Consider the following 25,786-nt stretch of genomic DNA (forward strand, 5'->3'; position numbering starts at 1 on the left):
AAGTTTGAATTAGTATGTCCATAAGACTCAGTAAGGCCTTAACCTGGCATGAAGTTTACTCAGTTTTATAGGGAGGACAGGAAGTTGAGCAAGTCCACTATCCTCGATCTCAATGAGAAGCCCCACAACTGTCTGTTGAGAAGAGTCAAACTCTAAAAGATATTTATTCTGAGCCAAAAAATGAGTGACGGTGGCCCATGACACATCCCTCAGGAGGTCCTCAGAACATGTTCCAAGGTGGTTAGGGCACAGCCTGATTTTATACATTTGTGAGACATGAGACATCAAATACATTTAAGAAGTACATGGGGTGGGTGGGGGGCTTCCAAGCTGTAGGGAAACTTACATTTTCTTGTGGACGAAAAATTTTCTGGTTTATCTAAAAGAACTGGAATCAATAAAGGAAATGTTCAGGTTAAAACATTGTGGAGACCAAGGTTATTTTGAAGTCTCATAGTGGCTGCCCTTAGACAATAGATGACAAGTGTTTCTTATTCAGACCTTTAAAAGGTGCTAGACTCAGTTAATCTCTTCAGGATTGGGAGGGCCTGGAAGAAAAAGGATCTAGCTTTATTAGATTCTTTACAGATGCAGATTTACCTCCCCAGATGTTGGCTTTGCAGGGCCATTTCAAAGTATGCCAAAGAAACTTTGGGGTGAAGTATTTTGATTTTCTTTGTCATGTAACGTTATGCCAGAGAGATTGGAAAGTCACAATATGTAACAGTTAAGTAAAACCCATCTGATGAGAATTTATGGTTTATAGGGCATGAGGCCCCAGACCCCTTAGATAGGAACTTTGGCAAGATTAAACAGTCAGTTTAGTCCTCAGATCCTTCACCCCTGCAGGGATGTGAATGGTTGACAAGGATGAGACAAAAATGTGTATGTTACACCTTGACGTAGATCACTGCAATGGTATTCCAGTTTGTTATTTCAGTTATATAGGTCCAATATGTGTGTCATAGGCTCCTGAGTCCAGATATGATCGATCTCAGACCAGTTTTGATACGGACAAGAGACAGGGAAATACTGGGTAGAAGAGGGCAGTTCCCTGGCAAAGCCCCACCCTCAAGCCTGGAAACCCACAGCCCTAAATGGGAACAGGCATTCCTGTTTTTGTTCCCAAAAGTTGCCATTTGGTCCACCATACCTAACTATCCTGTACTCTTGTAAACCCTAAACCGAGGGCGGTGGGAGAGCGGCGGAAAGAGGGCAGGACCCTGTAACCCTTGTAAACCCTAAGCCGAGGGCGGTGGGAGGACAGGACTCTGTACCCTTGTAAACCCCAAACCAAGGGCGGCGGGAGGACGGCAGGACCCTGGACCACCCTTGTAAACCCTAAACCGAGGCCGACGGGAGGAGGGCAGGACGCTGTACCCTTGTAAACCCTAAACCCAAGGCGGGGAGGGTGGCGGCGGAAGGAGGGCAGGACCCTGTACCCTTGTAAACCCTAAACTGAGGGCAGCAGGAGGGCGGCAGGAGGAGGGTAGGACCCTGTACCCTTGTAAACCCTAAACCGAGGGCGTCGGGAGGGCGGCAACGTCTAAGAGGAGTTCAACTGGGGACAGTTTGGAGAGGATGGCCAAACTCCAGGGGAAGATCATCTTCCCACTCTATACTTCCCAGCTCCCCATCCATCCCACTGAGAGCCACCTCCACCAGTCAGTAAAACCCCTGAGTTCATCCTTTGTGTGTGACCCGATTTTTCCTGGATACCAGACAAGAGCTTGGAATACAGAAAGCTGTCACATTAGCCTGTGAAAAGGCAGAGGTTCAACTGAGCTGTTTAACACTTAAGCTGTCTGGGGATGGCAAAGCTAAAAGAGCCCACTATAACACATGCCCACTTGGGCTTTGGGAGTCACAGGCACCCACACCCCTGGATGCTACCATGGGGCTAGAGCCCAGGGGCACTCACACTGGCTCCTGCATCTGCCCATCTGCATGCTTCCCCTCCTGTAAGGGTCTCAGTGTGCACACCCGTCACAGTAAGGGGTCTCAGCCAAACATTAGCCACACCCCTGTCACACATCCTGTGAGAGGGGGCTTAGGGAACTCCCATTTGTTTCAAGTAAGTCAGCTCCTTTATACATTTCATGTGTGTCTTAACTTAGTAATATGAGTTATTGGAGGGCCTTACTCAATAGTCGGAAAACATCTATAAGCATGTTATAAGGGTGTTGGGGGAGGTACCTAACATGGAGGCTTGGAGTTCATACAGACTTTCGTTATGTTAGGAATTAATTTGGTTTATCTCTTATTCCATCAACTGCTAACCTTGGTTGTCAGGTAAAATTGTTTCCTTATCAGCAGTAAACTTAATCTTATTAGAAAATGTAGAAACAGATCACATGGCTGAAAAGTACTTAGGCTTTGAAAGAAAGCATTTGCTAGTAGACTTTGAAAATAGTAATCCTAGGTCAGGCAGTTCCAATGATGCAATTCTCAAACATCTTATTAAATACAAAGATGCTTGGATAGCAGCACTTCTCTGGTAGGAATACAGACCTTTGCAATTCCCAGGCATTGAGATTTTGGATTTCTGGGGGTGGTGGGTGGGTTGGATATATAAGGGGAATATTAACCACTAGATTCCTGGGCTTTCTAGACTTTGTGGAAGGTAACTACTGACAAACTTAAGACCTGAGTACTAAAAAAAAAAAAAATAAGAGCTAGGCCATGACCATTTTATAGTCTATTACATTACAATATTTATAACCCTTTCCCTTGTGTTTAGGCTTAGGACACATTGATTGCACGTGTCTTCCTTTGCGGAAGGTGTCAACAGCTTGCTACTAGTTTGATAGTGATTCCCCTACTCCTTCCCCTAGGGGGATCTATGGCTATTCGTTCAGGTAGTTTTACACTGGAAAAAAGAATAACCAACCATTTGGAGAATGTTTGACATAAGCTTTAGAGAACACTGATAACCAGCAACCCAAAATTCATTATGGCTCCCTAGTCAGTGGGGGAATAGGAGGCCAGGTAATAGATTTTAGTTCACAGTGGAGTATAATGAATAGCCAGCTCATAGCTGATCCTGATTCTGGAATGCACCTGGTGATCATTTTCCCCAAATGTATACTCAGAATAGATATGTCTACTTATAACTTTGGCCTATGAGGCAAGTGGTATCAGTGGGGAAAGCCAGATAGAAGCCTTTGAAACTTCCCTTTCTCTGGACAAGACAGTAAACAGTGTTATGTAACAGAAGGGATACAAAAAGTGACACTTAAAATGGTTTCAAGGTTGCAGTTAATGACTCTCATATCCCCATATAGTTCACCAGTATAGCACTCAAAACACAAAGATCCTAGAGAAAAAGTACCTCAAATTCAACCAAATGTTAGCCCCAATTAAGCTGCTCTGCCAGATATGGTATCTCTGCCACAGCACAGTAACACCTGAATCAGCATCTGATTTAATAATCACCATACTGCAGTCATTGATTTGGCAAATGTTTTTCTACATCAGGGCAGGGACTTCAAGTAGTTCACATCCACATGAAGTAGAACACGATCCATACAGTTTTTCCCTGCAAAGACCTGGAGCAGTGCTAGGATGGAATATTCTGATGGAAGTGTTTTGTAATCAGTGCGGTCCAATTCAATGGCCCAGTCACTTGTGGCTATTGAACACTTGCAGTGTTGCATGTTGGTAGCTTTAAGGCTCATACACTACAGAGCATGAAGAATAAACAGTAAGAAAATGACTGTTTCACAGATGGATCAGAGTACGAGCAAAAAAAAAAAAAAAAGGATGGCTGCTACATACATATACAATGGTCAGTGGCAAACTGCTTTACTGCTGGTCAATGGCAGGAAAGGAGAAAATAACTGAAGGCCTGTAACAAGTTGGAATGCAATAGAGGCATATGGATTGGAGTAGTGCATGAGCACATCTACAGAAGCGAAGCACCAAAATCGAGTAGATACTGTGAAGATCCCAGAAATTTAGAAATTTTGAAGTAGCCACTGCATTTCACACCACAAGAGACCAAAAAAATCAATGTGGCCAGAAGGGGAAAGACAATTACTGTTACCAAAGTAGCTCTAAAGCCATTCAAATTCTATGGCATTGTTATGCTCATTAATGGCTGGGGCACCAAAAAGTCTCTAGGAGATCCAGCTAGAAACCACAGGGTAAGACATTCCCCATAGATATGAAAAAGACATGACCTAATAGTTATGTCTCAACACAAACCTGACCTGCTAACCAGAAAGAAAGCGTGATAAGATCCATTAAGTCACATAGAAGCTGGTGTTTCATTGCTCCCACAGGTAGAGGGGCTGAGATCCAGGAAATAGAGATTCCACTGGAAACACGTTCCAGATAGCAAGGTCTTTGAAGGGCAAGTGAAGCTATGACGAAATGAAAGAGCTCTAGGAGGCGGCACATAAAGGAAGATAACTATGTGCTACAGAAATTCAATTTACCATTCACCAAAAACATCTTGGCTTCTTCCATTTCTGCCCATCCTGGCAGTTTTGAAGTTTTCAGGACACCTAACCCCGATATGTTTTTGGATTAAGACTTGCTTTATGGCTGAGCATGTGGTTGATCTTAGATTATGTTCTCCCTTTGCTGATGAGATGAATGTATGTTTTGTGGTTGATGAGTGGAGTATTCTGTAAATGTCTATTAAGTCAAATTGGTTAAGTATCAAATTTAAGTCCAGGATTTGTTAGTTTTCTGACTTGATCTGTCTAACACTACCAGTGGGGTGTTAAAGTCCCTCACTATTGGGTGGCAAAGTTTTCCCACAGGTCTGGAAGTACTTGTTTTATGGATCTGGGTGCTGCAATGTTGGGTGCATATGTACTTATGATAGTTAAGTCTTGTGGAATGGAACCCTTTATCATTATGTAATTCCCTTTATTGTTGGTTTAGTGTCTGCTTTATCTGATGTAATAGTGACTCCTTTCCCCCACTCGTATGATTTTTTCCAACTTTGAGTTTATAGACGTCATTATGTATGAGTGTTTAATCCAACTTGGAACTTTGATTTTTAAGTGGGGTGAAAAAACAGACATTAACAATTCTTGTGATTTATTAGGTAGTGTTTGTTAAGCTTATGCTTTTTATATACTGCTATGGTTTGAATGTGTGTACACCCTCAAAATTCTTAAGTTGAGACCAGGTAAGTGTTAGGAGGTGAGGCCTTCAGGAGGTAATTGGTAGATTTCTTGTAAATGGAATTAGTGCCTTTATAAAAGGGTACCAAAGAGACCCCTGGTCGCTCTTATACTTGGACAGCAGCTGTTGAAAGTGCATATTAAGGTTGGGTAGTACTTCCTTACTCCCAGGGCACTGCTGCATTCCTTGAAGGTCATCCTTGAAGCCAGACACTTACAGTACCCTAAAGCAAGGTCTTTTGTCATCTTCTGCCAAGGTGTGGCCGTTATCACCCATCACCACACTAGACGGCACTGTTAGTGGGTGGTTGGCCTGGTGTATGAACACATCCTTATCTAAGTTAAAGGCTCTGTAGAAGTTTATAAGGATATTTTTGGATGTTTCCTATCAATGAGCCATCACAATCTGAAGCACAGGAGTCTTTTTTACCCTGAATCAAGATAAGCTCTTCAAAAGAAAGGCAGCCACAGGTGAGGGTGGCTAGCTTTGCTGGTTTGACAGTCTCAGTATGTGATGAAAGGCATCTGTGAGCTCCTAAATTAAAGGCATAACTCTGCCCTCAGTCAGGCAGAAGTAGCTAATTCATGAAACCCCTAGGAAAATGCCTTGAAAGCCCTTTAAGCAATAGGCAACTATGAGTCCTTACAGGAAGGGCACTTAGATTTTTTTGTATATGTTTAAGGGTTATACAGTTTTGTTACATGGATAGTGGTGAGGTCTGGGCCTTTAGTGGTCATCACCTGAATGACGTACATTGTTCCCATTAATTTCTCATCCATCCTATCCCCACCCTTCTGAGTCTCTATGTGTCTGTCATTCTACCCTATATAGTTGTGTACACTTAGGTTTTACCCATCAACAAGGGTCTCAGGGTACTTCATGACTTCTGCCTCTATCAGGGTTCTTCCATTCTGAGGGCAGAAATGTCTTGGAGGATGAGGGAAGGAAAATAACTTCTAGGGTCAGTATCACAATCCCATTTACTGGTCCAATTCCATCCCCTAGCCATGTACATTTCAGAGGTATTGTTGCTCAGAGCAGAGAACATTGAAGTTAAGTGGAGACCCCTCAACTGTAGGCTGAGGAACATCAGAGATCCCTATTAGAAAACGAGGTTGAGAAATCCGTAGGTTCTACATTAAGTATGGAAAAGAACTTGTGGATCTATGGTCCCATGAAAAAAGCAAGATAACAGTGTGAGGATCAATTCTAGTCTAGAATTGAGGTCATAAGGGATCCTGAACAAACTAAGAGTAATCTCAAGGACCAAAACATCCAGGAACCCAAGAAAACACTTAGGAACCTAAGAAAGTATGTAGTAAGAGGGACCGTGTATACCTATAAGGACAAAGTAAGAATCGAGTTGCAAGCTTTGTTTTGTTTTGAGATGGAGTTTTGCTCTTGTCACCCAGGCTGGAGTGCAATAGCACCATCTCAGCTCACTGCAACCTCTGCCTCCTAGATTGAAGTGATTCTCCTTCCTCAGCATTCTGAGTAGCTGGGATAACAAGCGCCCACCACACCTGGCTTTTTTTTTTTTTTTTTTTTTGAGACGGAGTATTGCTCTGTTGCCAGACTGGAGTGCAGTAGTGTAATCTTGGCTTGGTGCAACCTCTGCCTCCCAGGCTCAAGGGATTCTCCTGCCTCAGCCTGCCGAGTAGCTGGGACTACAAGGCATGCACCACCATGCCCAGCTAGTTCGTGTTTTTAGTAGAGACGGTGTTTCACCATGTTGGCCAGGATGGTCTTGATCTCTTGACCTCGTGATCCACCCACCTGGGCCTCCCAAAGTGCTGGGACTACAGGTGTGAGCCACCATGCCTGGCCTGGATTTGTAAGCTTGAACAGCAAAGGAAGAGGAAGCAATGCACAGTGGCTATGACAACACTAGTGATATGTCCGTTTCCCAGTAAAAGTCACTCCCTAGTCTTGTGGTCTCTCAATTTCCATCAAGACAAATGGAATCAGAACCTAAATGAACACTAAAGGGTCTTCCAAGGCTTAAGCCACCAAAAAGGTCAATTGAGAGAGAAGGGAGAGAAGAAAACTTAGGTCAGAATAATGGAACTCTTATGTTCTGAAAAAAGACTTTGTTAGGGGGAAAAAAGCCTCAGCCAAGGCAAGCATCCTAGAAAGTGAAGTAACATTGAGTCCTTCCTGAGAGAATGTTTGGATGGCTTCAGAAAAGAAAGCTATGAAGTAAAGGCATCAAGAGAATGGGGTATGTATGTATAAGCAGCTTCCCTCTGATGGGGAATATTTTGAGTTGGCAGGAAAGTAGCCCACAACCTTCCCTATCAATAATGGTAAGGCCAGTTCTTAAGAGGAGATTGTGCCCGACTTATAAGTGAAGCTTGAGCCAACCAGAGGGTTTCCCCTCCCCCCCCAAAAAAAAGACAACAAAAAAGCCACACAGAGAAAAAAAAAAAAAAAACAAACACGGAGTTTCACCCTTGTTGCCCAGGCTGGAGTGCAACGGCACAATCTCTGCTGACCGCAGCCTCTTCCCCCAAGGTTCGAGCGATTTTCCTGGCTCAGCTTCCCAAGTAGCTGGGATTACAAGGCATGCGCCACCGTGCTCGACTAATTTTGTATTTTTAGCCGAGATGGGTTTTCTCCATGTTGGATCAGGCTGGCACTCGAGCTCCCGACCTCAGGTGATCTGCCTGCCTTGGCCTCCCATAGTGCTGGGATTACAGGCATGAGCCACCGCGTCCAGCCAAAAAGGTCCTTCTTCTAAGCCTTCTGCTATAAGGGACGTTAAGCCCACGAATTAGAAACAGCCTTCCTAGGGAAAGCAGGGTTAATGCTCCCATCCCAGCCTCTTAGTGAGGCCCTTCTTTAGGAACTATGCCTAGTCTGGGGTTATTCCAATGGCCCCACAATAACCACAGAAAGGAAGTGGTGAGAGAAAAGATGAGGTTTACCGGAACTGAGAAGTATTTTCTAGTATTCCACTAGCCCAAAGCATCTCAGTTCAGTGCTGATTTTCACTATTTCATTAGAGAAAGCGAGGAATGTTGAGCTTGTTGTTCGAGTCTTCACTTCCCGGGCAAGTCGTGAGATTATGAGAAAGATGGAAGGAAACAGAACTAAACCTAGGTGCCTTATTCGTTTTGTTTTTTCTCACAGCAAATCAGCAAAGAATTTCTTATCTCTTAAAGTAAGCAGAAACAGAAAAAGCTGAAAGAAAGACACAGAGAGAAAGGAGAAACTAACTTAGAAGTCTCCCAGTTTCCACCCAAACTACCCAGACCCCACCCACCTCATTTCAGTCAGGGGCTTATAAAGCCTAAGAGGAGTTGAAGTTTAACTTAAATAGAAGGTGAGGGAACGCCATTGGTCAGAATTCTTGAAGCCTGGATTGGCTGGAGCCACGGAGGCTCCTGAACCCACTAAACCAGAAGCAAAGTGGCAGCTGAGAGCTGGTGCTGATTTTTTAAATTGGGAGACTCCTGAGTGTGTTCACCTGTAACTACAGTATCATAATTCACCTTCCAAAATTTAACATCAGGATTCACAAGAAAAAAAAGTTGCCATTGCCAGACATGGGCTAGAATCTTAAACTTGACAGTAAAGAAAATGAACTCTACATTGTGAAATATACATCACTCCCTAGATTCTATGATCAGATCTAGAACCAACTCAGAATAAAGTCACAGAACCAATATTAGTTAACTTTCAGTGAATTTTTCCTATCAAAAAGTATCTTTTAAACTAGCAAAAGAAGAAGAAAAGGGAAGCATATGGTTTAGCATGGTAAGGATTCTCTTGTCCTAATTGTGTTCAGGACAACTTAGAAAACAGTTTTCTGGGTCCTCATTTCCAGCCTGCCAGCTTATAATCACACTTGAGAGTCTACTTTCTGGGGCCATTCCTGCTATCAACTGTCTTAAGTTGGGTTCCTTAGAAACTGACTTTGAGACCTTTCCATGCTGAAAGTTTATCAGAAAGTAAGCTCACAAACAATGTCTCAACAGGTGCAAAGGAAGCAGAATTTTGCAGAGGGAGAAGGTGAATTACAACGGAGTTTCATCAGACTTCCCAGCTGATTTACGAGAAACTCTGGAGTAGAGATGGTCCTACACACTTGTCCTGAGTTAGGCAAGGGAGTCAGGCCTTTAAACTCACCATCAACTAGTCATTAAATACAATCATTGCAAACGGAGGGTGGCTAATTTAGGGTAATAGAGTTCCCTTTGGCTGAAGGTAATTCCTGAAAGAAATGTAGGTGTGAACTATCAGCAGCTGATAGCTCCCAGCTTATGAGGTAATGAGTGCTTCAAGGGGGGGATCTGTGTGGAGCTACACAGTTTACAGCTGGGGAAAGTTTATATCTGATTAGTCTTCTGAGAGGACTTGAGATGGGTGTCAGATCCTAGGGTTCAGGTCCAGCCCATGCTGAAGTCCGAGGGGAGTGGGTGGATGAACAGAAAGAACACTCGGGGGTCCATATGCAGGTGAAAGATGACTTCATTCAGCAGCAGTTCTTATTAACAACTTTCTCACACTGTCCACCTTTATCTCAACTGTGTGCTCTGGCTCTGTGGCTCCTGCCGCCCCCATGCCTGCAGCTGCATAGCCGGCTCACCCTTGGCTTCAGGGTCAGCAGCTTAACTTTTTCTCTCTCTGGGCACCAGTGTGAGCTGTGTTGTGGGTCCCCTCTGTCCATCTGCAAAATGGACAGCTTTGGCTCTCTTTCTCTGGGCACCAGCGCCTGCACTAGAGCCATGTTGAGTTGAGCCAAGCCCCAAAAGTCCCTGTATAGTGTTAGCAAGGCAATTATACCTTTTACAGACAATAGTGGCTCAGAGCCAAGTATGAACTTACACAAACAATCTATATAACAAGTAGAAGTGTGCACCTGTGCAACAAACTTGCTGAATCATGCAGGCCTGGATATCTGCCTTGGCTTATTCCTTGACCAAAACACATCCATATACGTTACAATGGGTGAAGGGAATAAATGGTCAGACTTTTCCTGATGATAGAATGGACTCTCCCATTGTTGCTCCCATGCTTCTTATCATAGTTCCTGTTTGTTAAGACATTATGAAACAGGTAGAATAAAATTAAACATAATTTAAAAATGAGGACCAAAAATAAATAAAAGTCTGTAAGAAGCAATATAAACAGACAAAAAATATATTCACCTTCTCAATTTTGGTTTTTAAAAGATTCAGGCATAAAATAACAGAAACAAAACTATTAGAACGAAAATATCAGACAAATTTGGAAAATACATTTAAAGCTCACTTAAAATGTGCTTGTATTTATTGGTTAACTTTTTAGCAATGGAAATTGTAGAGAAGGACACACGTAGAGAGCTGGAAGTGATAAATTCTCCTGGCAGGAGGCCAAAGACCTTAAGTAATTGATGTGTCTTGACCTGAACCTCAATCTCAAGAGACTCATTAAGCTGATCCATCTCTAAGGATATTCTGCTGTTTGAACAATTCTGTTGCATTCTCTGTAATAAAAAAAGAGATACTTTTGTGAAGAAATAACTAGAATCTTGTAGATTTTTTCATTAGGTGGTATTATGGCTGGCTCTTGATGGCCCAAAATGAATTTATTCCCTTGGAAAATATGGCAGGGTTCTTCCTAGTGAAAATTAGCTTAAGCAAAAAGGACTGTGTGATTGACATGGGACTTGTGTATCAATACTTGCACGCATGCGTGTATGCACACACAAACACACATACACACACAAGCCGGACATTTGCCTTTATGCTGAGGTGGCAAATAGGAACAAAGCTTTGGCCTAATGAATTTCAGACTTAATCCCTAGTTCCCCTCAACGTAACTTCTGAGGTTATAACGTCTGCAGGCAAAGATTTCCACTATACCCTAAAATCTAGCCACTTGTCGACTATATCATCTCTTCCTTTTATGCTATACTTTCTTCAGCTGCCTAATGTGTGTCCTAGTCCATTTTAAGTGCAAATTTCCATTACAAAAAAGACTACAAAATGGATCCAAATAGGTTGGAGTCATTAGAGATACCGAATATAGACCTATATGTCACTTTATCAGCTAGAAATTCAGCATCTAAATTCTCTTTCTTGGCTTCAGTCTGGAGCTTAACATACCCCTGATGCCTACAACACTGATGTAAAAAGTATACATATTAACATTTGAGAAGTCCCTATTCTAAGCCACTCCAATATTTGCTAATATTTTATTTAGTATTTTTGGGTCAGTTCTTATAAGAAGATTAGTCTTTTTTCTTTTTTGCACACTCTTTGCCAAGTTCAGCCATCGACATTAATCATCAATACTGTGTTACCTTTTAAAGGGTGAGAAAGACAGTAAGACAGGGTAAGATGGAAAGCACTGTGTGTTTATAACTAATTTGGACAGTGAAATCTCACCGCTTTTGCAGAATTCTATTCAGTAGAAGTGAACCATTAGGTCCAGCACCACTCAGGAAGAGGGGCTTACACTGGGGCACGAATGCCAGAAATGGAACACGGGGTTTCATTTGTGATAACTACTACAGGTACCTCCTGGGGAATCTTAGTAATATTTGGGGCGGGGGACTTTCAGGACCTCAAGATTCTGCATCAACTAATGTAAATAGCCAAGTCAATAGACTGAGATGACATGTGTGTTCCTGAGGATAGATCTTTATGTATTTCTAAATGCCTCTTTTGTGTTGGAGTACAGTGTGGAGATTTGAAAAGGGAGAGATGAAGGAATTGAACTGTTTTCTGAAGTTTGAAGACCTTGTCAATATTTCTTGGGTTTCTTTAGCCGTATTATCTTGAACACAAGAAGGCAATTTTAGCTGGACACAAAATCAAACATTTCTGCTCAATTTTTGAGATATACAACTCTTACCTATTTTTCTCTGCTTTTTCTGTTCTCTTACAGGCTATGGCAGCTTTGTTCAATGATTGGTTTTACGTCATCCTAGGCATTCTTCTATATGATGCAGGTTGTAAAGGCTGAATGGCAAGGACTATGGGCAAATAATGACAAAGGAGGGACAATCAAAGATGTTGAAAGCTCTTGCTTCCACGTAGAATACCTTCTCTTGTATCATTATTCTGTTACCTTAGGTCTTTGTCCTTTTTGGAATATTTCTATTTGGAAGTCTTCTGCCATGGGACTGGGAATGAAAAAGTGAGTTTAAGGCCACCATCTGTTTGTGAGGATCCACTACTGCTCTGAATGCTTCCGTAGGAACAGGTTGAATCTTAGCAGAGAGTATCCCAGTTTAGCTGACTCATCTCATGCTGGGGCTACTTAAATCATATCTTAATTGTCTTCTGCATTTGACTGTTCACTTATCAATGTTCAGTATGCTAGTTGATGTTTATGTTATGGCCTGCTCTCTGAATGACCCTACAGGAAACAGGATGCACAGGTTTTGGAGTTCAAAATACTAAGGTGTTGGTAGGACTAGTCATTTTGCAGGCTTGAAGAATGGGTCTTCTATCAGATGTGAAGTTAAACTGAAGTCCACCTGGTCTTTAAGAATGTGCTAGTTTAGGCTGAAGAAGGCACAAAGCCTCTTCCCACTCCTTGCTCATCACCCCTCAAAATAAGACAACAAATGGCCTCTCACCATTATCTTCATAAATACCTATGTCTCCATTGAGGATTGGGGGAACTGGGAATATGCAGCATTGTCTCCCGATTTTTTATATTTCCAAATATTTATATATTCTTTGCCATTAAAAATACAATAAACTTTATATCTTCTGCCTGTTGACTTCTTTCTCTCAACTTTATTTCTTCCCAAAGATGATGCCCAGGCAGAAGTCATGACCTTTAAAACATGGCCCCATACACCCCTCTAGCCTCTTGTATTTTCATTCCTTTTGAAGGCCCCTGACTCTACCACCTCTGGTTTATTATCTATTTGGAGAACATTTCCCTTATCATACCTTTGTGCTCAGGCACATTTCTTATCTCCAATTTGAAAAGCTCATCTTCCTTGCTCTCCCCAACATCCTATTTCCCTTCTCCATTCAATAGGACATGATAGTAGTGTCATGGGAAACATTTAACTAGCAAAGCCTACCTTGAGTCCCCAGGCAGAACGAGGAAGAGTGAACTGGACTTTGAAATATTAAGTACACTGTTAGTGTGAATAGTTCTACGATAAAATAAAGTGACTTATGGTTGTCAGAATTTAGATCTTAAACTCACTTGCTTACTAACTTTGTGACCTTTATGAACCTCGGCTTCATCTATAAGATGTCAATGCAATGATGACAGTTACTTCAGGAGATTCTGAAAACTGACTAATTTTTGAAAAGCATTTATTAGGATGCCTGGCACATAGTGGCCTTTCACAAATCCTACCAATATTGGATCTTCTTTTTTCCTTCAGTTTGTACTCTATACTCTTGGTCTAACTTTTAGGTATCCTCTGAGGACTTGAAGAAACAAGGACTCTCCAGCCACTAAGCATCTGCCTCCTCCTGCAATCTGGAAAGCCCCAGGGGCCAGAGCACACACACAAAAAGCAGTCTCTGGAGGAGTTGCAGTGTTTGGCTGCTGGGCAGAGGCCAAGGTAAGGTGGGTGTCCAGGGACAAGGCAGGATGATAGAGTATCCAGAGGGAAAAGGGAGCTCCCAATGGGAATTCTTTGGAAAAGAAAATACTTCTCCCCATGACTATCCATTGTTCATTGATTTTGTGTCATTTTTTCCTGCTCCTCTTGAAGAGTCCTGTACAAATCCCTCTTCTTCTGAGTAAAAGAAATGTAGACTACCAGGCATCAACCCATCAGGGAAAGTTGAATAGAGAAGATTCCAAGGATGTAGGTAACTGACCTGGGAATCAGGTGTTGGGCTGATAGAGATCGAATGTTGGGCTGATGACCTGACATCAAGGCTGGGTCACCCCAGAATGAAAGTTATAAGGCCTCATGCCTCCCATATAGGGCTGTCTAGGTCTGGTGGTATATCTGCTATCAAGACCTTATGGAAATGATGTTTGGATGAGGGAGGTGGAGAGGGAACGGAAATATGGTTACTTTGCTTCAAAGCAGAGACAGGAAAGGGTAAGTCCAATTTTGAGCTGGTGGAGTAACAGTTTTCAGGGACCAAGAGAAGTTATAAGAAAATAATCCAAGCAATAGGGGTGACTGGGAGTATGCTTGGTTGGACAGTGGAGGTACTCAGGAAAAGGCACAGGGTTGTCATAAAGGGAAAGGCTCTACTCAAATGAGTTATGCATTAGTTCTTTTACCTTTAAGACAATTTCAACTTGAATTATGTACTTCCCACTCTTTTAATAGAAATGAAAAATCCTCACAGGTCTTGTGCTTTGTGAATCATGAGTTATTGACATTAAGAAACTTTTTATTTTTATATTTATTTATTTTTCATTTTTTTTTTTTTTTTTTTTTTGAGATGGTGTCTCCATTCTGTCATACAGGCTGGAGTGCAGTGGCATGATCTTGGCTCACTGCAGCCTCCACCTTCCAGATTCAAGCAATTTTCATGCCTCAGCCTCCTGAGTAGCTGGGACTACAGGTGCTCGCCACCATGCCCAGCTAATTTTTTGTATTTTTAGTAGAGACGGGGTTTTGCCATGTTGTCCAGGCTGAACTCCTGAGCTCAGACAATCCTACCACCTCGGCCTCCCAAAGTGCTGGGATTACAGGCTGAGCCACCATGTCCGGTCGAACTTTTTAAAGCTACTTTTCGGTGATTGGCCCTCCAGATCTGCACGTGAATGTTTCCACAGGATTAAAAACAAAGGCAGGTGCAGTGCTAGAAATATGTCTTAGGAGAACTTGGACAGAGCATTCTGAAAACAGTATGCCTTACCAGCCTGAGAGCAATAGTATGTATATCTTGATTTGTTCCTACATAGGTGTGTTCATGTGTTCACATTGTAATTATTCATCTAACTGAACATTTGAGATTTGTGCATTTTCCAGCATGTCCATAATGGCTCAAAAACAAAACCAGAAAGTGAAGGAACAGGCAGTTGTGTGAGATGTTTTGGTAAAACAGGAAGAAAAAGAGTCACTGGCAACAGATCCTTGATGGAGATGACATTTGATCTTAGCCAAGAAATTTTCAGTAGCAATACATTGAGTAAAATAAATATTTTAAAAAGAAACAGCCAACAAAATCAAATATCCTGTTCTTTGAAAAGATTACTAACAATTAAATCTCTAGCAGTGCTAATTAAGAAGAAAAGTAAATGAAGAATTAAAAAAAAACCCACCACTCTCGAAGGCATGAAAGGTATGCCCAGTTAGTTTCCAGGGCTGGTGAGAGGAGGGATGAGGCAAGCATCAGCTGAGGCTGCCTCCTGAAGAAAGGTGAATTTACACAGGGCAGCCAGGGTAGGAATATCCTGGATCAGAGGTGAGTGGGGAAGAGGCTGTTTGGATCCTCAAGCTTTCTGCAGCCCTTTATGCAATAATGCACAAGCCTAAGTTTGTGGCATTCAGAACACATGCGGCAGTTTCAAGCATATCCTGAATTTTCTTTCACTCTTTACTACCATTCTACTTCAAAAGCTTTCCCTAATCTTCTTGTGATCCATCACTTAAGATGTCTCGCCCAGTGTCCCAGCAGTTTACAGTGAGCTCCTATAAACTGACTGTGATGTGGAGCTCACTACTCTATTCAATCTGTTCCATGATATAGCATTTCTTAAACTCAGGGATTTTCTTCTTGTTGTAGGTTTATTTCTTTTATACAGACCACAGTTTGTAATCATGTCCAAGAATTTTGGCTTTTTAGAAAACAACTGAGGACTCCTATCACAGCTGTTGTTGGCACCTGGGTGTGGAGTCAATCAGTGCTAGGCTTTCTAGGAGGTTAATTGAAGGGGCAAATATATGTCTTTTGGTTAGGATTAAGAACCTGGTAAATGTTCCTCTAGTGCTTGGCTAACAGAGAAAATGTCTACTGCAGTAGATGGGATTCTGAGCATAGAATTCCATTAATCTGATCTATTTCATCACTCAGGTAGAAGTGATGCCCCGATGAGAACTTAAAAAGGGGAAACTAGAGACAGTATACAAGGGTAGGGATATGGCAGCTTCTTACTATGGAAACCCTTTATTCAGGAGAGGCACAGGAAGAAATAGACAAAGCAAGCTAGTCTTGAGGCTTGGCAAATAAGCACACATCATTTAAGAGTGCCTGAACACCTAAGACAGTTCTTGGGCTATATATGACTACTGTTACGTCAACACAAATCACACAATTGATGTGGTGAACTACTAGGCTGAGGCCTTGAGAGATACAAATTAGAACCATGAGGGTTTGAGAAAAGAGATCACGTGTCCTTAACATATTCTAGTCCATTCTTGGCATCTGGAGTTCAGGTCTGTGACCAACCTACATGTCCATTTCTCTGGAAGCAAAATGATCTAATGGCAATAGGAAAAAGAGTTGAAGTAGCAATTTAGCCTGAAAAAGAAATATTTGTCATACTTGCCTCCACTCCTTAATCTGAATTCAGTTTGGCAAGAGTTGTTATATGACAGCAGAAGTGGAACCATTCTTAGGCTTTCTTATTAAAGATGGGTTGTAGGCAAAAGTAAGGGAGACGGTTGTCACAGGTATGATGAAGAAACAAAAAAAAATAGCAAGCTAGCAGACAACAAAAATTCTAAACTTGAGAACTGATCTATAATGGGACAGATAGTGGGCTCCTCATCATAGTCCAATTAGAAGAATCTTGCTGCGTATAGCCTGTGGTTGAGACATCTTCAGTGGTAGATTATGGGACGACAGGAGAAAAGCTCAGGCAATGTGGGTTGAGTGGCTTTTTACTTTTTAATAGTGGTCTTCAAGTCACACACACCCATTTAAGGATGCTACTTGCAGCAATCTAAAAGTATGGGATTTATGCAGGGAAAACAGTTTCATTTTATATTAGCTACATTTTATTGAGCACCTAAGCACCATGCATCATGCTAAGCATTTTTACAAAGCTTATCACTTAAGTCTCAAAATATCTCTATGATGTATGTACTATTATCTCCTTTTTATGGATGAAGAAACTGGGGCTTGGTGCGTTTACATAATTTGACTAAGGCAAAGCGGCTAGCAAGTGATAGAGTGGATTTTTAAGTCTATGGGTATGAATCTAGAACCAATACTTTTCGACTCTTCGCTATCCTGCCTCTTGATGATGTAGGAACAGTACCACATTTTGAGTGTGGTACATGAAAGTATGCAGGATTTGTAGGCTGTATTCTGAAGAAAAAAACCTAGGGGTTCCATGAAGAAGATCAGCCAATGTCTCCCAAAGCTGAATGTTACCACCAGAAGAGGCAGCGCCCCTTGCAAGGAGTATTCTCACATGGCTGGGAAAATGTGTCCGTGACCAAACATCATATGAAATCATTGAAACCAATCATCCTAAGGAGAAAGTAACTAAAGGGCTACCACGCAGGACTGTAATGGCAGTTTAGGCTGACTACTTCTATTTTGGGTTCTCCAGCCAGATTATTCACATTATATGATATGGTAACACCTGAAAGAGGCAATGGATGGTGAATGCAGCAATAAACAGAGATCAACAAGCGGTAGAGCTCAGCTGCTGGCTGTGCACAGCAGTAGCTATCTTTGTCTCATCAAACCTGGCCAAGTGAAACCCCTAATCTTGTTTTATCCACAGTTGTCTTCTTGACTATCCATATTGGGCTGGATGGACACCTGGGAGTCATAGCTTAAACCCAAAACTTACCACACACTTACTACATGATCTTGGCTAGAATATTTAATCTCATTTAAGTTATACAAACTGTGTTGTATGGAATGGATGTTTGATCTATTTTACAAATGAAGGAATACACTCAGACTATGAATACTACACTTTTTAACATAGTACTAGCACATACTATGTTCATAATAAAGTGCCTAACTTTCTAAAGGATAAAGCTTCCTTGTTGCCTGGAATGTCTTGGTAGTTTATCATGAAAAAATAGCTGCATTGAAAAATCATAAAAGCTTACTGGGTAAAGTTCATCTATAAGGTAGTCCCAAGGTTTTCTTTGTAGTATTTTAATCTATTAATTGAACCTAAGTAAATAGGATATTCAGGGCAAAGTTTAGAGAAGGTAAGGATTATATTTCCAGGTACTTTATTATCTCCTATGGAAGCTGATTATGTTGTTCTCTAATGATCTTATTTTTCCCAACTCATTCATGTATTTCTTTTACCACAAGGATACTTCTTTCATATTTTTTTATAGGCACTGTACCAAGGATAAAAAATACGATATGTTTGACCTCAGGAAGTTTTTGTTCATATAACAACTAGTAACTGAGCGTACAGAGATGAAAGACAGATTCATTTCTCTGTTTATCCTTCATTCTGTGGAAACTTAACCATAATAAACATATATTAATAGACTTCTTTTTAATAGACTTGTGACCTCAGTTATGGATTACACCCTTTGTATAAGATCATAAACAAGAGACATACACCTTAATGCACACAATAAAGTCTAGGGAGAGCATTACAATGATCAATTTAGTCTCTGAGGTCACGATGGGAGATTGTATGAAAGCTCAGATGAAAGGGTATGGAATGGGGAAGGAAGAAAGCAGAAAAGGCTTTCCAAAGGAGGTAAGCCATGAGCTGATCCATGAACAATGAATACAAATTTGGAAGGGAAGAATATTAAGGAGGATAAAAGTGGTACAGGATAATTTTGTCAGATGCCACATTTTTGATCCTGAGATTACCACCAAGCTGAGAATATCCTTAGGTTTTCCCAGCACCACATGTGTCAACAAATCTTACGGGATTGCATTCTTCTCATACATCATTTGTGCATTAACAGGAAAAAAGTCTCACTTGTGATGCTGGGTCCAGCTTATAACCACACAATGGAAACCCCTGCCTCCTTCCTCCTTGTGGGTATCCCAGGACTGCAATCTTCACATCTTTGGCTGGCTATCTCACTGAGTGCCATGTACATCATAGCCCTGTTAGGAAACACCATCATCGTGACTGCAATCTGGATGGATTCCACTCGGCATGAGCCCATGTATTGCTTTCTGTGTGTTCTGGCTGCTGTGGACATTGTTATGGCCTCCTCGGTGGTACCCAAGATGGTGAGCATCTTCTGCTCAGGAGACAGCTCAATCAGCTTTAGTGCTTGTTTCACTCAGATGTTTTTTGTCCACTTAGCCACAGCTGTGGAGACGGGGCTGCTGCTGACCATGGCTTTTGACCGCTATGTAGCCATCTGCAAGCCTCTACACTACAAGAGAATTCTCACGCCTCAAGTGATGCTGGGAATGAGTATGGCCATCACCATCAGAGCTATCATAGCCATAACTCCACTGAGTTGGATGGTGAGTCATCTACCTTTCTGTGGCTCCAATGTGGTTGTCCACTCCTACTGTGAGCACATAGCTTTGGCCAGGTTAGCATGTGCTGACCCCGTGCCCAGCAGTCTCTACAGTCTGATTGGTTCCTCTCTTATGGTGGGCTCTGATGTGGCCTTCATTGCTGCCTCCTATATCTTAATTCTCAAGGCAGTATTTGGTCTCTCCTCAAAGACTGCTCAGTTGAAAGCATTAAGCACATGTGGCTCCCATGTGGGGGTTATGGCTTTGTACTATCTACCTGGGATGGCATCCATCTATGCGGCCTGGTTGGGGCAGGATGTAGTGCCCTTGCACACCCAAGTCCTGCTAGCTGACCTGTACGTGATCATCCCAGCCACCTTAAATCCCATCATCTATGGCATGAGGACCAAACAACTGCGGGAGAGAATATGGAGTTATCTGATGCATGTCCTCTTTGACCATTCCAACCTGGGTTCATGAACACAATATCTGTTCAGATCCAGCCAATTTCAAAGATGCCTTAGAGATCTGCAGAGCTTAGTTTACCTGGTGCTACAGGAATTCTAAGATGAAGGTGTAAAGGATATCCTTGCATAACTTTTCAATTACTAGCAGGAATGTGAATGAAATGTTTCTGATTTTCTGAGGGCTTTCTCAGTGGATTCAATCAACTTGTATCTGAATCAGAGACAAGTTTTGGTAGAGAATACACATTTGATTGAACTTATGTTTCCCTGCTCTTTAGGAATGTGCTAGGTTAGGCTGAGGAAGGCACAAAGCCTCTTCCTGCTCCTGCCTCACCAACTCTTAAAATGAAAGACAACAAAGACCGCTCACCATTCTCTTCATGAACAGCTATGTGTCCACTTAGGATCTGGGGAACTGAGAGCATGCAACTCTATTTCTTAGTTTTTCATACTTCCAAATAGTTATCTACCCTTCGCCATTAAAAAGAAAAACACTAGAAACTTTATAGCTTGTGCCTGTTGACTCTTTTCTGCCAACTTTATTCCTTTCCACAGATGATGCTCAGGCAGAAGACATGAACTTTAAAACATGGCCCCATGCACCCCTCTAGCCTCTTGTATTTTCAATCCCTTTCAAGTCCCCTGACTCTACTGCCTCTGGTTTATCCTCTATTTGGAGAATATGTCCCTTCTCATACTTTTGTGCTCAGGTGCATGCCCTATCTCCAGTTGAAAAACTCATCTTCCTTGCCCTCCCCTACATCCTCTTTCCCTTCTCCGTTCAACAGGATGCTATAACAGCGTCATGGGAAACATCTAACCAGTGAAACCTGGCCCGAGTCCCCAGGCAGAACTGAGGAAATGTGAACTCGACTTTGAGATATGAAGTACACTGTCAGTGTGAATAGTTCTACCATAAAGTGAAGTGAAATACGGTTATTAGAATTTAGCTCTTGACTTTCTGGCTTACTTGCTTTGTGACTTTTATGAGCCTCAGCTTTCATCTATAAGATGTTGATGTGATGATGGCAGCTACTTCAGGAGGTTTTGAAAACTGACTGAGATAATCTTTGAAAAGAGCATTTGTTATGATGCCTGGCACTTAGTGAACTTTCACAAATCCTACCTATCATGGTTTTTTGTTTGTTTGTTTGTTTTCCTTTCAGGATACACTTTATACTCTTAGTCTAACTTTTAGGTATCCTCTGAAAACTTGAAGAAACAGACTCTTCAGCCAGTAAGCATCTGCCTCCTCCTGCTATCTGGAAATCCCCAGGGGCCAGAGCACAAAGATAAACCAGTCTCTTGAGGAGTAGCAATGTTTGGTTGCTGGGTAGAGGCCAAAGGAAGGTGGGTGTCCAGGGACAAGGCAGGATGATTGAGTATCCAGAGGGAAAAGAGGGCCCCAATGAGAAGTCTTTGGAAAGGACAATATGACTCTCCATTGTTTGTTCGTATTTGATTGTGTTTGCACTTCCTGCTCCTCCGAAGGTATCCTGTATTAACCCCTCTTCTTTTGCGTGAAAGAAATGTGGACTATGAGGCATGGACTCATTGGAGAAAGTTAAACAGAGAAAACTCTCAGACTGTGGGTAACTGACTTGGGCATTAGTGTTGGGCTGATGGAGTCTGAAGGCCAGATCACCCCAGAATAGAAAATATAAGCCTTTACTCTTCCTATACAGGGCTGTCTAGGTGTGGTGGGTATTACTGATACCAAGAATGTATGAAAATGATATTTGGATAGGAAAGGTGGGAGAGAGAATGGGACATATAATTAATTGAAAGCAGAGAGGAAGGGGTAGGTATGATATTGGCATGGTGGAGAGACAGTTTTATGGGACTAAGAACAGTTATGAGGAAAAAAACCCAGTAGTAGGGCTGATTGGGTGCATGTTTGGCTGAAGAGGGGAAGTATCCAGGTAGGAAGAAAGGGTTATCATAAACAGAAAGGCTTGATTCAAATGCATATGCCTTAGTTCTTTTACCTTTAAGACATTTTCATTTTGAATTATGTATTCCTCACTCTTTTAATAGAAATGAAACATTCTCCCATATCTTATGATTTGTGAATCATGAGTTGTTGAAATTAAGGGACTTTTCTGTGCTAGTTTTAAGTAATTGGCTCTCCAGGTCTGCATGTGAATATCCCCACAGTATTGAAGGCAAAGGCAGGTGCAGGGCTGAAAATAGATCTTAGGATAACTTACCAGAGCTTTCTGAAAACAGTAAACATTAACAACCAGAGGGCACTGGTGTCTGTATCTTAACCTCAGTAGTGCCTATGTAGGTGTGTTCATGTGTTCACATAATAAATATTTATCAGGCTATCTATCTGAGATTTGTGCATTTCCCATTATATTCATAGTGTTTTAAAAAGTTAATGAAAAATCAGGGAGCAGGCAGTTGTGTTAAATGTTTTGGAGATGTCAAGTAAAACAAAAGGAAAAAGAGTTACTGGACTGGCAACAGATGCTTGATGGAGATCAACGTTAATCTTAGCCAAACAATGTTCAGTATCAATAGGCTGATTGAAATAAATATTTGTAGAAAGAAACAACTAACCAAACCGAGTGTCCTGTTCTTTGCAAAGACTGACAATGTAAATCTCCAGCAACGCTAATTGAGAAGAAACGTAAATGGAGATTAAAAAGAAAAACACTCTCAAGGGCATGAAAGGTATGCCCAATTAGAGCTTCCAGGGCTGAGGCCTCAGCATCAGCTGAGGCTGCCTCTTGAAGAAAGGTGAATTTAAACAGGGCAGCCAGGGGAGGAACATTCTGGATCAGAGGTGAGTGGGGAAGAGGCTGTTTGGATTCTCAAGCTTTATGCAGCCCTTTATGCAATAATGCACAAGTCTGAGTTTGTTGCATCCAGAACACATGCGGCAATCTCAAGCATACCCTGATTTTTTCTTTCACTCTTCACTACCGTTCTACTTCAAAAGCTTTCCCTTGTCTTCTCATGATCTATCACTGAAGATGTCTCACCCAGTAGCTACACAGCAAGGTTTTTATAATCTGATTATGATGTGGATATCACTAATTTATTCAATCTGTGCCATGATATAGTATTTCTTAAGCTCAGGGATTTTATTTTTGGTTTGTTTCATATAGATCACAGTCTGTAATCATGTCTCCAAAACTTGATTTTTTAAATAAAACTCCTGAGGACTTTACCACAGCTGCTGGTGGTACCTAACTATGGAGCCCATCAGTGCTAGGCTCTGTAGGAGGTGAACTGAAGGAGCAAATGTATGTCCCAGGATTAGGATTGAGAACCTGACGAATGCTCACCTAATGCTTGGCTAAGAGAGAAAATGTGTACCACAGCAGATGGGATCAAGGCACAGAATTCCATTAATCTGATTTATTCCACTACTCAGAGAGGAGCCAGAACCCTGACAAGAGGTAAAAAGAGGTAGCTTGAGACAGTATCCAAGGGTAAGGATATGGTAACTTCTCACGATGAAAGTCCTTTTTTTCAGGAGAGGCACAGGAAGCGATAGTTAAAGCAGGCTGGTCTTGAGGCTTGGCAAATGAGCACCTTTCATTTAAGATTGCGTGAACACCTAAGAAACAGTTCTTGAGCGATATATGACTACTGTTATGTCAAAACAAATCACACAGTTGCTGTGGTGACTCATTAGGCTGAGCCCTTGAGATACAATACTAGGGTGATGAGGGTTTTAGGAAGGAGATCAATTGTATTTAATATGGTCTGGTCTACACTTGAGATTCTAAGTCCAGGTCTGAGACAAAGGCATATGCCCACGTCCTAAGGAAAGAAAATTATCTGAGAACAATAGAAAAAATATTTGAAGCACTAATTTAGCCTGGAAAAAATATTTTTCATACCCACCTCCACTCTATCCTTAATCTGAATTCAGTTTGGCAAGAGTTGTTTTATGGCAGCAGAAATGTGAGCTATGCTTGGCTTTCTTATTAGAGATGGGTTGTAGGAAAAACTAAGGAAAACTTTTTCACAAGTGTGATGAAGAAAAAAAAATAGCAACAAAGCAAACAAAAAATCCTAAACTTGAGAATTGACCTATAATGGAACAGATAGTGGGCTCTTATCATAGTCCAATGAGGAGAAACTTGTTGTGCACAGCCACTGGGTGAGACATCTTCAGTGGCAACTCATGGGAGGACAAGAGAAATTCTTCAGGCAATGCAGGATGAGCTGCTTTTTACTTTGTAAATGTGGTCTTCAAATCACATACACCCATTTAAGGATGTTATTTGGAGCAATCTAGAAGTATAGAATCAGGCAGGGAAAACCGTCTTCTGTTTTACTATATTATAGCTATATTTTATTGAACACCTATGTACCAAGCATTACACTAAGCACTTTTACATAGCTTATCACTTAAATCTCAAAATATCTCTGTGAAGTATTATTAACTCTAATGGGTGAAGAAGTTGAGGCTTGGAGAGTTACATAATTTGACTGATGCAAAATGGCTAGCAAGCGATAGAGTAGGGTTTTCAGTCTAGGAGTATGAATCTAGAACCGATGCTTTTTGCCACTTTGCTATCCTGCCCTTTGATGATGTGGGACCAATAACATATTTTGAGTAGGGTACACAAAAGTATGCAGGATTTGTACGCTCTATTCTGATGAAATAGAATCTAGGGGTTCCATGAAGAAGATTAACCAATGTCTCCAAAAGCTAGGTGATAACATCAGAGGAAGGAGCCTCCCCTTGTAAGGAGTCTTCTCAGATGGCAGGGAAAATGTGCCTATGACCAAACACCATATGAATATGAAATCATGGAAACCAATCATCCTAAGGAGAGAGTAACTAAACAGCTATCACACAGGAATAGAATGGTAGTTAATGCTGACTTCTTTATATTCAGGTTTCCCCACTTAGATTGTTACATATTATATGATATGGTAACACCTGAATGAGGCAATGGAGGGTGAATACATCAATAAACAGAGATGAACAAGTGGTAGAGCTCAGCTGCTGGCTGTGCACAGCAGTAGCTATCTTTGTCTCATCAAACGTGGCCAAGTGAAACCCCTAACCTTGTTTTATCCATAGTTGTCTTGTTGACTATTTATGTTGGGCTGGATGGACACCTGGGAGTCATAGCTTAAACCCAAAACTTACCACACACGTACTACATGATCTTGGCTAGAATATTTAATCTAAGTTATACAAACTGTGTTGTATGGAATGGATGTTTGTCTTATATTACAAATGGAGAAATACACTCAGATTATGAATACTACACTTTTAACATAGTACTGGCACATACTGTGTTAATAATAAAGTGCTTAACTTTCTAAAGGATAAAGCTTTCTTGTTTGGAACATCTTGGTTATCAGGAAGAGGGAGTTAGTTGTATTAAAGAACCATAACAACTTATTGGGGAGGGGGGGTCATCTATAAGGTAACCCTAAGATTTTCCTTGTAGTAATTTAATCTATTAACTGAACCAAAGTGAATAGGATCCAGGGTAAATTTAGAGAAGGTAAGGATTATATTTATTTATAGATAATTTATAATCACCTGTAAAATGTGATAATGTTATTCTCTAATGGTTTTATTTTACTGAACTTACTAACGTACTTCATGAATCACAAGAATGCTGAATTTATGTTTTGTCTATGCAATATGCTGAGCATATAAAATGTGATGTTTGTTTTCAAGAAGTTCTGGTTTCAACATTTAGTAACAGCACACAGAGATAAGTCATTCTTTCCTCTGTTAATCGTTCTTTCTGTGGAAATTGTTTACTGTAATGAGTATATATATCTTCACTCAAGTGACTTGTGACCACAGCTATGGATCACAATCTTCCTATAAGGCACTTGAGTGAATACCATAAACTCATACAGTACTGGAATTGTCGATTTAGTCCCTACAGG

The 25,786-nt window shown here is 41.3% G+C and overlaps 1 protein-coding gene and 1 long non-coding RNA gene across 3 annotated transcripts, besides 1 other annotated feature; one reads left to right on the forward strand and one right to left on the reverse strand.

Annotated features, from left to right (window-relative positions):
- Positions 1,419-1,624: a silencer, noted in NCBI's record as "fragment chr11:4590598-4590803 (GRCh37/hg19 assembly coordinates)". NCBI's record gives its function as "represses an EF-1alpha promoter that drives an FKBP-Casp9 reporter gene in an ReSE screen in HepG2 liver carcinoma cells {active_cell/tissue: HepG2}" and the evidence as "EXISTENCE:reporter gene assay evidence [ECO:0000049][PMID:32094911]".
- On the reverse strand, positions 3,474-9,871 carry C11orf40 (chromosome 11 putative open reading frame 40). The gene is made up of 4 exons (NR_172945.1): positions 9,731-9,871; positions 5,357-5,523; positions 4,207-4,345; positions 3,474-3,680 (listed from the first exon to the last, which is right to left on the reverse strand). It is a non-coding gene; the product is annotated as a chromosome 11 putative open reading frame 40 (long non-coding RNA).
- A 3,922-nt stretch (positions 9,872-13,793) lies between these two features.
- On the forward strand, positions 13,794-25,391 carry OR52I2 (olfactory receptor family 52 subfamily I member 2). Of its 2 annotated transcripts, NM_001405760.1 has the most exons (2): positions 13,794-13,915; positions 18,923-25,391. In NM_001405760.1, the coding sequence occupies exon 2, from the start codon at positions 18,942-18,944 to the stop codon at positions 19,914-19,916; it is 975 nt and encodes a 324-aa protein (NP_001392689.1). In that variant the 5' UTR covers positions 13,794-13,915; positions 18,923-18,941; the 3' UTR covers positions 19,917-25,391. The 2 variants fall into 2 exon arrangements, with proteins under 2 accessions (NP_001392689.1, NP_001005170.2); NM_001005170.4 differs by lacking the exon at positions 13,794-13,915 and having other exon boundaries at positions 18,842-19,956.
- Positions 25,392-25,786: the final 395 nt, after the last annotated feature.

This window comes from Homo sapiens, chromosome 11 (genome assembly GCF_000001405.40).
Source record: "Homo sapiens chromosome 11, GRCh38.p14 Primary Assembly".
Classification (NCBI taxonomy): Eukaryota; Metazoa; Chordata; class Mammalia; order Primates; family Hominidae; genus Homo; species Homo sapiens.